Source organism: Homo sapiens, chromosome 18, assembly GCF_000001405.40.
Source record: "Homo sapiens chromosome 18, GRCh38.p14 Primary Assembly".
Taxonomy (NCBI): Eukaryota; Metazoa; Chordata; class Mammalia; order Primates; family Hominidae; genus Homo; species Homo sapiens.
The window spans coordinates 45,633,469-45,649,647 of NC_000018.10; the positions used below are offsets into that span (position 1 = coordinate 45,633,469).

At 43.3% G+C, this 16,179-nt stretch overlaps 1 protein-coding gene and 1 long non-coding RNA gene across 7 annotated transcripts in view; one reads left to right on the top strand and one right to left on the bottom strand.

The window, feature by feature from the left end:
- The window catches only part of SLC14A2 (solute carrier family 14 member 2), a 515,726-nt gene that overhangs the window by 465,506 nt on the left and 34,041 nt on the right, over positions 1 to 16,179 (top strand). For 5 of the 6 annotated variants that reach the window (NM_001371319.1, XM_024451270.2, NM_001242692.2 and 2 more), the window contains 5 exons: positions 3,522 to 3,714; positions 6,278 to 6,425; positions 7,741 to 7,875; positions 9,664 to 9,713; positions 10,518 to 10,692. In NM_001371319.1, coding sequence (NP_001358248.1) covers positions 3,522 to 3,714; positions 6,278 to 6,425; positions 7,741 to 7,875; positions 9,664 to 9,713; positions 10,518 to 10,692 — 701 coding nt within the window. The remainder of the gene's footprint in view (positions 1 to 3,521; positions 3,715 to 6,277; positions 6,426 to 7,740; positions 7,876 to 9,663; positions 9,714 to 10,517; positions 10,693 to 16,179) is intronic. The other variant, XM_017026016.3, reaches the window with a different exon arrangement.
- LOC105372093 (uncharacterized) overlaps positions 1 to 16,179 on the bottom strand; it is a 176,501-nt gene that overhangs the window by 27,133 nt on the left and 133,189 nt on the right. Inside the window, exon 8 of the long non-coding RNA XR_935423.3 lies at positions 3,355 to 3,689. This is a non-coding gene — a long non-coding RNA (uncharacterized LOC105372093). The remainder of the gene's footprint in view (positions 1 to 3,354; positions 3,690 to 16,179) is intronic.

A 16,179-nucleotide genomic window follows, 5' to 3' on the forward strand; every position in this document is an offset into this window, starting at 1 on the left:
ACAAATATTCACCTAGCGAAGGGTGTGCTGGGCCATTCACACAATGATTCTTAGTTCACGTAAATTTACAGCAGGTCTATCAAGCATCTTGGGGTCTCTGCAGTGTGCTCACTGTCATGGTGAACCTTTGTCCCCCAGACCCTGACTTCACATGTGTATACCACCCTGTTCTCAACTTCCCTCAAACAGTGTGATTTATTCTTATTGTCAGCAATAAATCAGACAGGATGATTTACTTTTAACATCTCTAAGAAGTAAATGTCTTTCCTTGGTTTCAAAGTCTGCAGTTACTAAAACCAGCTAGTTTAATTTAGCTTAACTACTCTTTTATTACTTTTTAGTAGTGCTTGCAAATAAATTACTACATTAAGGATTCTGGGCAATTTAGTTTTCCTCTTAGGGTTTCGTTCTTAATCCATTGGGACAAAAAGCCAAGACAGTCATTTCTATGTGGATTTTCTTAATGCCCCCCACGTTCCTGCCTGTGAAAAGGAGAACTTGCCCTCATTTGCAATACATTTGGTTTAAAACTACATAGATTAAGCCCCTCAACACAGCTCCTCAACCACATTGCACTGGCTGGCAATTAGACTTCAGTGCCCCCCATCCCACTTCCCAATTTAAAGGACAAAAAAACACTGAGCACCCCACCCTGGGCTCTGTGCTACTACTCCAGTGCATTCATCAATCCATTTATGGGGACCCTGAAATTCAAGTCATAGGGTAGGTATTTGTAGTGCCATTTTCCAGATTCATTCAATAAACAAATATCTGTTGAGTGCCTGAACTATTTGTTGAGTGAAAGGTTGACCCTAGATGCTGGGAATATTTGTAAACAAGGAAAAGTCTCTATTCCCTTGGAACTGACATTCTTCTTGGCTAAGACAGAAATAAACTCATAAACTAGTTAATAAAAGGGATCATTTCAAGATGTGATAAGTGCTTTGAGGAAAGCAAGAGAGGCTAAATGGGACAGCAAATGATTCCAGACATGTGTGCTCAGGGAAGACAACTTTGCAGAGGGGACATTTGAGCTGTCGCCTAAATGATAAGAAGGCATCTGTCATCTGAAGATGTGGGTGAAGGATGTTGCAGGCAGAAGCAGCCCCCAACTGGGGAAGTGTGATGTATTCTAAGAAGAGAGACAAGACTGGTGTGGCAGAAGCCCAGTGAAGGATGGAGGAGTGGCAGGAGGGGAGGGCAGGTACTCGATGAGAGTCAGACCAGGTACACCCTGTAGACCCAGTAAGCCTTTGGATTTCTATATCAGCTGTGATAGAAAGCAGTTAGAGAGTTTTAGGCAGAGATGTGATGGGATATGGTTTAAATCTAAACAAATCACTCTGTTTGCAGGATGGAGACGGATTTTAACTGGAGTAAGAGTGGATGCTGGAAGCATCTGCTACAATAATCCACAATTGTCTGCTACAAAACCCCACAGAGATGACAGTGTTTAGATTAGAGTGATATCCATGAACATGGTAAGAAGTGAGTGGGTCTGGGGTATATTTTAAAGAAGATAGAGGCAATATAACTTGTTGGGAGGTTGTGGAAAACCAAGGAGAGGAAAAAAAAAAAGAAAATTGAATACACTCCTTTAATTTGCCTAAGTACCTAGGTTGATACAAAAGACCAAGAGAAGAACTGGTCGGTGGCAGGAGACAGGATACAAATCAAGAATTCTGTTTGGACACATTATACTATAGACTTCCAAGTAGAGATGTTGTAAAGGCAATTGGATGTACAAATCTGAAACAGTGATATGATCAAGATTTGGGAGGTGGAAACACACAGAAGCTTTCATCTATGGTACTAAAGGCTATCACCCAACAGAGAAGATTTTTTAGAAGAGAGAGAAAATATTCAAGACAGAGTCCCATAGGCTCTTCCAACATTTAGAAGTCTGGCAAGAGAGGGGAAAAACCATCAAAAGAGACTAAGAAGGAACAGGCAAAAAGAAAACTAAGAAAATCCAGTGTCATGGTAGCCCAGACAAAGTATTTCAAGATGGTGGGCAGGTCCAACTGTCAAAGCAATAGGGAATGACCATGGACTTAGCAAGATAGATGCCATTGGTGAAATGGACAAGAGCCATTTCCATGGTGTAATGAGGGCACACACCTGACTGAAGTGGGTTTGGGAAAGACTAGGAAGAGAAAGATTGGGGATAGCACAGAAAGCCAACCATTTCGAGGGCTACTGCCCGAAGGGGAGCAGAGAAACGGAGCCACAGCTGGAGTGGCCATCAGGTTAAAGGGGGAAGATGTTTAAAGGTAGAAGATACTAGAGCATGTTATATCCTGATGAGAATGATCCAAAGAAAAAGAAGAGATTGAAGCTGCAGGAGAGAAATGAGAAAATTACAGGAATGAAGTCCCTGAGGCAGATTAGATCCAAAGAACAGGGAAAAGAACTGGCCTGATGAAGGAGCAGGGATGCTTCCATTATGTGAAAAAGACAGAGAGGCAGATTTTGTGGGAAGAAAGCAGACAGGGTGTGGATTTTATGGCTGGGAAAACAAGCCTTTCTCATCTTGTCACTTCTATTTTCTTAATGAAGTAAAGCCAGGTGGTTGGCGGAGGCTAAAGGGAAGCAGACAGTAAAGATTTGAGAAGAAAGGTGAAAATGTGAAATACTTGTCTCAGCAAGTCGGAGAGTTAACTGGTGAGGGATGTGTAGGAGGGTTTTCAGGAAGTCTTAAACGCCTTTTTGAAATTCATGGTCATTCATTAAAAGCAGACAATTTAAACACATCATGCAACTTCAGGTTTTGCCCAGCAGGTCACTGAGTGTGGATGATGTGGGGTATTTGGTGTCTAGGGTGGCTGGTGCCTTCCAGAGGAAACTGAAGCTAAGGGAGATTAATTACCTAACATTGTTCCTTCAGCCTGTATGCATAGGAGTGAGTCAGGATTTGCACTAAGCTTCATCTGTCTCCAACACCCATTCTCCTTCCAAGGAAAAGATGAAGAAGACAGAGGGTACAAACAACTGAAGGTTCTATTTTCCCCTGGCAGTTTCCAGAGTAGCTCTAAGTATTTTTGCTGAAACTAGACCTGCAAATTACCCATATGCCATTGCAGCCTCCTCCTAGAAGGTCAGTCTTCTAAAATGTTATCAGAGCCTTGAACAATAGTCATTGTACACCTTGGTGATTCAAAGGCAATACATTACATTTTGTTTAGTTTTCTTGGTTTAAAAAACAAGGAAATATTTCCACTATTTTATAAAGTGTTTTACTCAAAATAAGTTACGATATTTTTAAAATTTGTTTCTCAGAGGTGTAAGCTTATGAAGCAGATGACAATAAATTGGCAAAAAAAAAAGAAAAAGGTAAGAGCTGAAATTGAATACCTTATTCTATTCCCTATCCCAGATCATTGGAACACTGGAGTCTCAAGGGGGCCAGGAATGCTGTGCCTAGGAGAGGAGGCAGTGGATGATACAGTGGCCAGAGCTGCTGAGACAATGTAGACCTCAGGATGTCACAGGGATTAACCCTCTGTCTCTTGCATCTTCAGCCCAGTTCTTTCTAGTGCCTTGAATTCCATCTTCAGCAAGTGGGACCTCCCGGTCTTCACTCTGCCCTTCAACATTGCAGTCACCTTGTACCTTGCAGCCACAGGCCACTACAACCTCTTCTTCCCCACAACACTGGTAGAGCCTGTGTCTTCAGTGCCCAATATCACCTGGACAGAGATGGAAATGCCCCTGGTAAGTTACCCAGCGGTGATGAGTTGAGACCCCCATATTCCACTGCAGACCTTCTCGCCAACCAATTTGTGGACTATCCATGCTCTCAACTTCTCTAGAAACATCTATACCAGATGATGGGCCTCAGCAGGGTATCAGAAAGGGTTGCTGCCACATCCATAGATCCTTTCAACAGTACTTATTGAGCATGTAACATGGCCTGGACACTTTTTCAGATACTGATAATACAAGACAATGACATCCTGCTCTTAGGAAGCCTACATTCTATACGGGGAAACAGATAACATGCAAGTGAACAGATAAGCGTTGACAGTACAGAACTGTGGTGGTTGAGTGAAAGATATTAGATAAAATGTATAGTCAGATAAAGGGGCAAGATACTAAAATAAACATTTAAAATTGGGATTTTAAAGGCATTAGCATAGAAGACAGAGGGTTAATTTTTATATACTCTCTCTCTTAGTGGTTCTCAGGCAGGGATAATTTTGCCCCTTGGAGACATTAGGCAATGTCTGGAGACATTTTTATTGTCAAGACTAGAGAGGTCCCCAGCACGCTGCTCCCAGGCCACTTCCCTCTTTCTCTTTGAAACAACAGAGAAAGGCCTTCCTTTTCCTTTTTGTTTAATCAGCTTATTGTTGCTATATAAGAATTATGAGGAGTGTGAAGAAGGCCTGGTGCTTAGTAAATTTCCATGGCACACCTGACTGCCCTTCACACCAGGGTGTCAGCTGCGGCCTGGGAGCAGCGTGCTGGGAGGGAAGGCCGCCCTGGGGCACAGCTCACCAGGCTGAAATATAGATCCCAGCGGAGGAAGCTTCATTCTAAACCCAGGCTCCATTCCAAGGCCACTCATTCCCTCATTCCTCTCATTCTTGACCGCTTGGGCTTAAAATCTGCGTTCCCGGATGGAAAGGTGGACGTGAACTCCCCTCAGCATCCCGCATTCCTCAGATGTTGGCAATCATGGGATATTTATTAAATAGACTTCCAGCCTGTTCCCAACATTTAAGCTGAGTTCCCTGGTCTGGTACAAAGTGTTTTCTGGGTTTCTATAAATAAATATGATTGAGTACCCCTCCCTTGCCATTCCTTTCGCAAGATTATAAACTCTGGTCCAAACAGCATTTGGTTATTAAAAGACCATTCATTCAGAGACAAGAGTGAGCAAAGTTTAAGAGCCCTCTAGGCTCTTCAAATACTACTCCCTGAAGAAATCATACTTATTCCAGAATTAAATCAAATTGTCAAAAAGTACAAAATTTGGTCCAAAGGGAGAAACTAAATTATTCCCAACATCTACAGCAACGTCTACAGTAGATCATCTATAACTAATCTCCCATCGCACACTAGACTCACCTGAGGACCTGCCATGCCCCATATCAATTAAATCAGAATGTCTAGGGAAGAGCTGGGCATCAGTATTTGTTTAAAGATTCCCAGGGGATTCCACTGTACAGCAAAGTTTGGGAACCACTGACCTAATCAATTCCTATTTGTTAAGCACCTATGGTGTACCTGGGCATAAAGGGCCCTGTCCTCACAGAGGTCATGTGACCTGGCAATGGTGAAAAGAACTACAGAGTCTTAAAGCTGGAAGATCATCTGCCAAGCCAGCCTCTTGTTACAGACGAGGATGTGACATGCTCACAGTCACACAGTGAACTGTGCAGAGCCCTGATGGAAGCTAGAGCCCTCTACTCCCAGGCCAGTGCTCTGCCTGCCCTGCCATTCTCCCTCCTTTCTTTTTCTGCCCTCAAAGGACTCCAAAAATATCGACAATTCAGCCTGGCCACAGAAAAGCCATCTGTCAGCACTGCCAAACAAATTCTCCCCAATTCCAGCACCAAGTTACTCTCAGGCTCAGGGATGTCTGGGCTTCAGGCCATTCTCCAGATGTGCCACATACTACCTTTCTACAATGCTATGCGGTCTTCGAGAGCAGGGGGCATGCCTACTGCTCCTTTCCAAAGGCTCACAACCCCCCAGGGTAGCAGTGAATGGGCAGGGGCCGCCAAAGAGGACGTGTCAGCAGTGGCTTGACAAAGAGACAGCAAGGGTGACAAAGACCTCAGACCTGAGCTAGGGGTCAAGCTCAGAGCCTCTAGCCTGCACTTGACCAACAACAGGCTGGGTGACTTTTAGTCAAATCATACATCAAAATGGCCTACTGTATTTTCAATATTCCTAGAATATTTGTATGGATTTCAGAAGGTCTAGAGGAAATCCCCGAGAGCCCTGAAACTCCCAGCGGCATTCTAGGGAGGAGGTGCATTCTGGTCCCCTCAAAGCAGAAGCCGTATGTTCCTCAGAAGCATCCATGCCCAGCCCATGTTGGGGGCCCTGGCTTTGCATGAGGGATGCTCACATGCCTGCTGGGTGGTAGAGTGAGGAGCTGTTTGTTCCAGCTCATGCCTCCCATGTTCTCTCACATGCTGGAGGGTACAGTCATCCTCCCGTTCCACTCCATTACTCCCCCGAGGAATGGCTCAAATCTGGCCCTGAGTCTGGTTTTTGCATTATTGTCCATGCTCCAGTGACCTGTATTCTGTTAACTTTGCAGCTGTTACAAGCCATCCCTGTTGGGGTCGGCCAGGTGTATGGCTGTGACAATCCCTGGACAGGCGGCGTGTTCCTGGTGGCTCTGTTCATCTCCTCGCCACTCATCTGCTTGCATGCAGCCATTGGCTCAATCGTGGGGCTGCTAGCAGGTAGGACAGAGCTCCCTCTCTTCAGGTCCTCAGGATAATTCACTCAAGGTCACTTTTCCCCTACATACAGCAAATCTTCCAGACATTCTCTTCCCTGCAGTTTTAAATACTTTCAGGGAGACAGGCACGGTGACTTATGCCTGTAATCCCAGCACTTTGGGAGGCCGAGGCACATAGATGACCTGAACTCAGGGTGAAAACCCATCTCTACTAAAGAAAAAAAAGTACAAAAATTAGCTGGGTGTGGTGGTGGGCACCCATAATCCCAGCTACTTGGGGAGCTGAGGCAGGAGAATCACTTGAACCCAGGAGGTGGAGGTTGCAATGAGCCAAGATCGTACCACCTCACTCCAGCCTGGGAAATAGAGTGAGACTCCGTCTTAAAAAAAAAAAAAATACATGTGGAGAGATGCAAGGGGGTAAGAACCAAGTTGGCCTGCAAACTGAGCCCCTGGAGCTGAGGATGCTGGAGAGACACAGGGGTAGGGGCGGGAGCAGTAACCAAGACCAACTGTGATAAAATAAATGGCCCAGCACTCTGAAATTTTTGGTAAGATACAAAGAAAATTGTTCTCAAACATTGGATTGCCACTTAACAAATGTGCTTTAATATTGCTACCTGTGTATATGTATGTATACACATTTAAATAGGTATTTGCTCTTTCTGACAACAGAGTCAGAGATTGGGGTAGGAGCATTGGGAGTAGGAACCTGTTTTAGACTTCTTCTAATATTTTTCAAAGATTTTTTTGGAAGCAAAACTTTAAAAAGTATTTTTTATTTGGAAATAGTTTTAAACTCATCAAAAAATGGTAAAAATAAAAATATGAGGCATCTGTAAATTCTTTCCCCAGATGTACCCACTGTTCACATCTTACTCCTTCTGCTGTATCATTCCTCTATCTACATATATCCATAAGTGTATAGGGATATTTTTCCAGAGCACTTGAAACAACTTTTAAAAATATTTGTTTAACTCTTCAAACCTTTTTGGAAACTTTCTTGCTAAGACTGCAGTTGCTGTAGTCAAAGCAGTAAGAAGGGGCCTAGAATCCCACCTCCTTGCCTCTTCTCACCCAGGAGGACCTCCAAGTGAAGCCTGTGGCTTTGACAACTGGTTTGGAAACCACTGTTCTCTTTTCATTGAAGGTCTCCTAAGACCGGATGCCATTTGTAGAGGCTCTTTTGATGGGCAGGTTTGGAGATGTGGGGTGAACAACAGCATGGAGGCCACTCTGAGACCTGGCACCAGTCCCAGGGTGGTCTTTGTTCTGTGGCCCAGAATCAGACAGAAATACCACACCTTGTCCCATAGCCCTGTCAGTGGCCACACCCTTCGAGACCATCTACACAGGCCTCTGGAGCTACAACTGCGTCCTCTCCTGCATCGCCATCGGAGGCATGTTCTATGCCCTCACCTGGCAGACTCACCTGCTGGCCCTCATCTGTGGTAGGTGTTCAGAAAAGCTGACAACCAGGTTATTCTGGCTATTCCTTCCCCCCTTGTTTATGTGAAACCCATGGGGACCACTAATCAATACTGTTCAGCAGTGACAGAAAGGCCAATGGCTTGCGTCCTAATGCCAGTGCTGCCCTTAACAGCTGGGGATTTCAGGTCCCTTTTCTGTCAAATGGGATCACAACCACCGAATGGTATTATACTTACACAGTGTTGTAAAGTTTATAAGGAAATCACATATGCATTTCCTTGTGTGCTAATGACAGCATTCCTGCTCTCTATAACTCTTCATTCAACAACTGTTTATACAACACCATCAAGTGCCAGGACCTAGTCTAGGTATAGAAGATACCATGGTGACTACATCCTCATGAAGCCACAGCCTAGCAGGAGAGAAGTAATTGCACAAATAATTACTAAGGCTGCAGCGTCCACAAAGGTTGTTGGAATGATCCAGTGAGGTGATGTACCAGGAGCACTAAAAATCATAACCACATTATGGAAGCTCGATTTCCATAAACAGAGAATATGCTGCCAGAAGGGAAATCAGCCATAGTCCTTCTCATACACCTGTATCCCAGCACCATACCCTGTTATATAAATATACAAACTCACTTAATCCCCCCAAGAATACCACCAGGCATAGCCTGCCTGGCCCATTTTACAGATGAGGAAATGAGGCTCAGAGGGGCTAATTAACTTGCCCTAGAAGATAGCTATTAATGGCAAAAGGGAGAGTCAATCCCAGCCCCAGCTTGCCACCAGCTCTCCTCTCCTGGTATTGTTCTCTGGAAGCAGGACAGGACATTAATAAATAAAACTAGAGTCAAGGAAACAGAAGACTAGCGTCTGGAACAGCTTCTCTTTTGTTTTTTCCCACTTATGCTTGGAGACTGAGAATGACTTCCATATCCCTTGTATCCCCTCAGCAGCCAACATGAGGCTGGGCATGGAGACAGTGGACCTAGTAAATATTTGTCAAGTTAAAAGTGCCTGTTATTTTGAGGTTCAGACCGTAACTGCTTTTGGCCTTCAGAGAAGTGGCAGATTCCTGTGGCTGGAATCATCTGGGAAGCCTACAGGGGGAGGCTAGGGTTTATCTCAACACTTCTAGTAGGATCTGAGTTGACAAAGAGAGAGGGAAGAGGTGTTCCGGACAGAGAAGGAGAAAGAGCAAAGCTGCAGGCAGAAGGAGTTTGTCCAGAGGCACCAGCTACATGGACGAGCTTTCCTGACTGTCCTCAGGACCCAGCTCCCATGGGGGAACCCAGCTGCCTGGCTCCTGGGGACTGGTTCAGGGGTCTAGTAAGGTTCAGCCCTGGTGAGACTTGGTGAACATCAAGCAGCATCACAGCTGCTCACAGTCTTGAATAGGAGGGACCTTGGCAGGAGCTCGTATAGTCTGACCACTCTTCCCCTACAACAATCATCCAGCCTGTACTAGCTCTTCGCTACCATCAGCGTAGACTAGCATATGATGTGTATTGACCCCTGACTCCATGCAAGGCCACTATGGAAGCAGGGAGGGGACAAAAGGAAATATATGTTTTAATCTCTGCCCGAAGAATGAACAGTCTGGTGGGAGACTGGCCTCACCTGTCTACAGAGATAACAAATGCCAGGCAAGCATGCCAGCTGTCAGGGCATGGTGCAGAATCTGAGGCTGCAGGAGAGAGGGTGGGGCTCCTGTTCTTGGTCTGGGCTCCCTGGTCTGCAATGGCAGTGGCTTAGGGGGAAGGCCCTGGGAAGCTCACTCTGGTGATCCTTGTTCCTCCACAGCCCTGTTCTGTGCATACATGGAAGCAGCCATCTCCAACATCATGTCAGTGGTAAGTGTGGATTCTCCTGAACACTACCCCAAAGTGCTCTTCCCAGAGCTTCTGGACATATGGGGTTGTGGGGTCTGGGAAAGGAACATTGAGCGGGTAATGGTAGCTGGTGCTCACACGACATCTCTGTTAAGGTTTATCTAAGGTTGTCCGGAGGAGGATTGACAATTGCATACATGTACCTCTAGGAGAGGGAGGGGTGTGTGTGTGTGTTGAAAGATTGCAATGTAACTAGCAGTGGAAAACACGACGGACAGATGGAGCTGTGTGACTGGACATGGGGGAACATCCTCAGGCCAATTTTCAGCTCCATCATTGAAAGATTCTGATTGTGGCTCAAATTATCTGTTTTGTTTTTGTTTTCTTTGCAAGACAGGGTCTCGCACTGTTGCCCAGGCTGGAATGCAGTAGTGCAATCTTGGCTCACTGCAGCTCCAACCTCCCAGGACTCAAGCCATCCTCCCAGTTCAGCCTCCCAAGTAGCTGGGACTAGAGGCATGCACCATCATGCCCAGCTGTCTTTTGTATTTTTTTGGGTCTCACTTTGTTGCCAAGGCTGGTCTGGGCTCAAGTGATCCTCCCACCTTGGCCTCCCAAAGTGCTGGTATTACAGGCATGAGCCACTGCATCCAGCCCTAAATTCTTTGACCAACTACTGTGACATTGCAAATCCAGGAATATCAATGCCTTCACTGGAGGGAGGATCTCCATCCTCAACGCCTGTCACATCCTTCTCCCCCAGAGTCCCCAGCCCAACACAGGAAACTAGGAAACTTCTTCAGTCCCCAATGCTTTTGTTTCCAGGTGGGCGTGCCACCAGGCACCTGGGCCTTCTGCCTTGCCACCATCATCTTCCTGCTCCTGACGACAAACAACCCAGCCATCTTCAGACTCCCACTCAGCAAAGTCACCTACCCCGAGGCCAACCGCATCTACTACCTGACAGTGAAAAGCGGTGAAGAAGAGAAGGCCCCCAGCGGTGAATAGCCATGTTCGGGGAAGAAACGCTCTTTGCCTGACCTGATGTCCTCTCCCTGTGTTCTCTGCTCTGGTTCAATCAGTTGCAGCACTCACCTTCTTTGCCTCTCCTTGCACCTGTGTAGAACCAAGCACACCTGTAACTTTCTTTCCCTGAAGCTGATTTTCATTCTCTGCCAGAATCTCCATAACTATCTATTGTGCGACATTAAGGGATGTTGGTATTACAGTAAAATTTCCGGAGTTAGCAATAAGGTGTGTGTCTTAAATGTTGTTGACTTAAAACAAAAACAGTAGTCTTTTGGAAAGGTAATTAACAGGTGATCTTCTTGGCATCTTAAACTAAATAATAGATGCTATAAAATTAAACTTGTTGAGTGGTTCCTAGGCAGACACAGAGTAGGGGGGTAAGTCAGGGGACACAGGCTAGGAAGGGAAGGCTCTCTAGTGGCTGAGCTAGAGACTAATGACCACAAAGAGAGGAATTTCACACTGATGGGATTTTAAAGTCAAAACAGGGACGATTGGGGCAGGGAATTATCTAAATAAGGAGTCTTAACCATTCAGTGGTCTTTGTAAGGGGCAAGGCGATATTCCATAGCAGGGAGGAATTAATAAATTAGAATCCTATATATGACTTTATTATGGAGGATAAGCATTTCTTAGTTTAGGTCAAACCAGCATCTCTTTAAAATTTAATTTTTTTAATTTTAAGTTCTGGGATACATGTGCAGAACATGCAGGTTTGTTATATAGGTATATATGTGCCATGGTGGTTTGCTGCACCTATCAACCCGTCATCTAGGTTTTAAGCCCCACGTGCATTAGGTAGTTATCCTAGTGCTCTCCCTCCTCTTGCCTCCCATCCCCCAACAGGGCCCAGTGTGTGATGTTCCCCTCCCTGTGTCCACGTGTTCTCACTGTTCAACTCCCACTTATAAGTGAGAACATGTGGTGTTTGATTTTCTGTTCCTGTGTTAGTTTGCTGAGAATGATGGCTTCCAGCTTCATCCATGTCCCTGCAAAGGATATGAACTCATTCTTTTTATGGCTGCATAGTATTCCATGGTGTATATGTGCCACATTTTCTTCATCCAGTCTATCAAGACTTTGCTATTGTATACAGTGCTGTGATAAACATATGTGTGCTTGTGTCTTTACAATAGAATGATTTATAATCCTTTCAGTATATACCTAGTAATGGGATTGCTGGGACAAATCAAACCAGCATCTCTAAGCAGAGATTTCAGTTAAGGAAAGTACCTGAGTTCCATGTGTAAAAAGCTTGGGAAATTTACTTCATTCTTCTATTTGCTTGTGAGCATGGGAGGCTTTATGAAGTGTATGATATTTAAAACAAATAGGTAGCCCTGACTATAGAAAGACAATTATCTATGAATTTCATAATTTTGTTTCTCAACTATAGTCAATAGCTTTCATTTGGTCTTTTTAAATATATATATACATATACAAAGATATATATAGATCGGGGTCAGCAAACTTTTTCTGTAAAGAGCCAGATAGTAAATATTTTCTGCTGGGAGGCCATATATTCTCTTTGGCAAAGTCTTAACCCTGTCATTATAGCATAAAAGTAGCCATAGACAACGTGTAAATGAATGAGTATGGCTATGTGTCAATAAAACTTTATTAAACAAGCAGTGAGCTAGATTTGGTCCACAAGCTGTATTTTGCAGATCCCTGATAGAGACAGTCTACATACTAATGCTTACAAACTGGTGGGCGGTGCACAGGCCCAAACAGACACCACCAAGTCCCTTGCGACATAGCAAAGGGGTTTTACATGCTGGTGACAGCATGAAGACCCTCAGGAAATGGAGGATACCCAGAAAAGTGACAGTAGCATGACTGGAATCAGGAGGACCTGCTCTGGGGCTGCTGGAGAACTAGGATACCCAGTGATGTGCACTAAGGGGTGCAGTTTTAAACCAAGACCCGCCTTCTACATTGTCTGGGAACTATTTCTAAGGTTCACTCTTCTCCAACCTCTCACTCTGTTGTTCTCTCATCTGCCAGAAAGCACACCACTCTTGGACAAAGAAAAACTGATGACCCTTCAGTGCTGGAGTTTTCCAGGCAGGAAGGACAGGGAGGTTCAGAGAATCCCAACGTTTGAAGGGAGTGTGAAGATCAGGTGGTCCGATCCCATGATGCATGAAAACCTCTATAATATTAGGATAAGGGCTTCAGTTCTCTGCCGGGTTTCCAGAACAGATTCAATTACCCAAAATGGAGGCAAGGCTCCCAAAGTATTTTAACAACAGATAACCAGAACCAGAGACCCCACTCATTGCCCTAGAAAATCCCCTCCTGTCTTCATTAAGCTCTTTGAGGCTGTCCACCCAAAGCATTGGGTCTGATTGGGGACTGTCTTTTAGCCATGCTTACTGGATCCCCAGGAGAGGAAAACTATTTGGATATAAAAAATTATTTCAGCTGATTTGGACAAGATTATCGCTTTCTTTTCCCACCAACTCCCCCCATCTCCCCCACCCCTGCCAACTCTTCACCTCATCTCACGAGACTGGAGAGCTCCTGGAGTGATCTTGTCCCACCTTCCCCAGGGCTTCCCCACCTCATCTACCTGCTGAATGGGTAGGTAAAAGATCTCTAAACTTACAGATTCACAGCACCAACATGAGGTTGCATGGGGGCAGGCCATGATGAGAGAAGAAGAAGGGTTTGGGGACCCATATTCTGGCAGTTTTTCTACCATCACCCCAAACTACAAGCAACAGCTCTTGGCTGTACAAATGAGAGTGTCTATGTTGAACATAAATATGCAATCATTAAAGATGTGTCAGTTTGGAGAGAAAGGGACTTTAGAGGAGGCTGTGTCTCAAACTCTTTTCCTATCTCACCCATCTTCCACTCTCCCTCTCCCAGTCTCTGCCCTCCCCAACACTTTCTCCCATCTTTATCTCCTCTCATACAACACTGATGAATTCTATCAGCCATGACAGTCTTGTCCTGCTGCACTTTAAAATGGCAGATCTTAAATCATCTTTCCAGTTTCTTCCATAATTGACATAGTCAAGTTTTCTGCTTCATCTTGAGTCAAGCTTGAGCATTTGCTAAGATATAATCAATTTTCTTTAGCTTTAAATGTTTGTGGCCATAGAGTTACTTATAATGTTCTCATAAAACAATTTCAGTCTCTCCTGTATGCATGGTTTTATCCCCTTCTCATTTCTACTCTTACATAATTTTGTTATCTCTTTTCTTTAATCAGGTTTGCAAGGAGTTCGTTAATTTTATTGACTTTTTCAAAGAAGCGATTTTGGATTTATTTGTCCTTTCTACTTGTTTTGGTTTGTTTTCTATTGATTTATTTTTCCTGTTTTCTTAAGGTTTAAATGTTATTTTCTAATGTTTTAAAATTGATGTAGAATTCCTTCATTTTAGGTCTTTCTAACAACAAAGCCATTTACAGCTATTAATTTTCTCCTGAGTACAGCTTTAGCTGGATACTATAGGTTTTAGAATAAAGGAGTCTACATTTATCATTTTTAAAATAGTTTGTAATTTTAATTTTTATTCCTCTTTGGTTGTTTGAGGATTATTTAATAATGGGTTTCTTAATTTCTAGCATTTAGGAATCTTGATTTTTTTAACTTTGTATATCTAGTTTTATTGGATTATGAGCAGAAAACATGGCCTGTAAAAATCTTTATTTTAAAATTGTGTGAATTTTTCTTCATTGTCAAGTACCTGATTGATTTTGGACATATAAAATTAAATTTTACTTTGAAAGAAATACATATTAAATTGATTTGTTAATTGTATTATTCAATTTCTCTATGTTCTTATTTTTTTGTATATGGGGTCTTAATTCTGAAAAGGGTTTGTTAAAAATCAACTATAATTGTACTGTTTCATTAATCTTTGCATTTCTAAAACATTTACCTCATATAATTAGTTACCACATTGTTTGATGCCTATTAATTTATGACAATCTTTTTCTTCAAAAATTTTGCCTATTATTATAAGTTACCCTCTTTATTCTAGTTAATGCTTTTTTTTTTTTTTTTTTTTTTTTTTTTGAGATGGAGTCTCACTCTATCGCCCAGGCTGGAGTGCAGTGGCACCATCTGGGCTCACTGCAAGCTCCGCCTCCCGGGTTCACGCCATTCTCCTGCCTCAGCCTCCAGATTAGCTGGGACTACAGGCACCCGCCACCACGACCAGCTAATTTTTTGTATTTTTAGTAGAGATGGGGTTTCACCGTGTTAGCCAGGATGGTCTCGATCTCCTGACCTCGTGATTCGCCCACCTCGGCCTCCCAAGGTGCTGGGATTACAGGCATGAGCCACCACGCCCGGCCTAGTTAATGCTTTTAACCATCACTCCAACTTAACCAGTATTAATATTGTTGTACCTTCTTTCTTTCTGATATTTTCTTATCCCTTTGTTTTAACCTTCATCATTTCTTTTAATTTTTAACTTTATTACTTTTAACTATATTTTTTAAAAATAACATATAGCAATGTTTCATATTTTTACCTAATCTCAGTGTTTCTGTAATTTAATAAGTTAACCTTTTCACATCTTATGTAATAACTAATATACTAGTTTTTTTCTTTCACTTTTTTACTATTCATTTTTCTTTGCTTTTTTGTTTTTTCATTGTTCTCGTTTTAGAAGTTTGATCATGATACTCCCTCTTTCTTTCTTCCCTTTGTTAATTTGGAAGGTCCACTGTTGTTTTACATTCTGCTAGCAGTTACTGCTCCTTTCCCAACACTCATAATCAAAAGCATATTCGTCTCTCACGAGGTCAGGAGATAGAGACCATCCTGGCTAACATGGTGAAACCCTGTCTCTACTAAAAATACAAAAAAATTGCTGGGCATGGTGGCGGGTGCCTGTAGTCCCAGCTACTCGGGAGGCTGAGGCAGGAGAATGGTGTGAACCCAGGAGGTGGAGCTTGCAGTGAGCGAGCCGAGATCGTGCACTGCACTCCAGCCTATGAGAGCGAGTGAGACTCTGTCTCAAAAACAAAAAACAAAAACAAAAAGGCATATTTGTCTCTTATTATATAAAAACAAGATGAAAAATACTTTTCCCTGACAAGATACCCCATTTCTCCAATGATCTTTCCCTACCCTGAGGAACTAAGGCCTTTGAAATAATTTCACTATTCTCCTCCCCAGCGCCCCAGTACCTAAAATGCTTTTACTTCTCCAGCTATCTCCCACTCCTAAATTGTGCTAAGACCATTTATCATTTTTAATTCTTTCCCCTTGCAATATGCCTCTTCTTTTCACAAGAATTCTTACTGAGCCCCTACATCATACATTCCCAGCCATTCTATCATCCATTTGGAGTTTACCATTTGTATTGAACATGTTACATTTTATTACACTTTCCTCTCTTCTTCTTCCCCTGTCTTGCTATCTCTGTTCCAATTCATTTATTACTTGTTTACAACTCTTTGTATTTTCTTCAAGTAATATATGAGAGAATA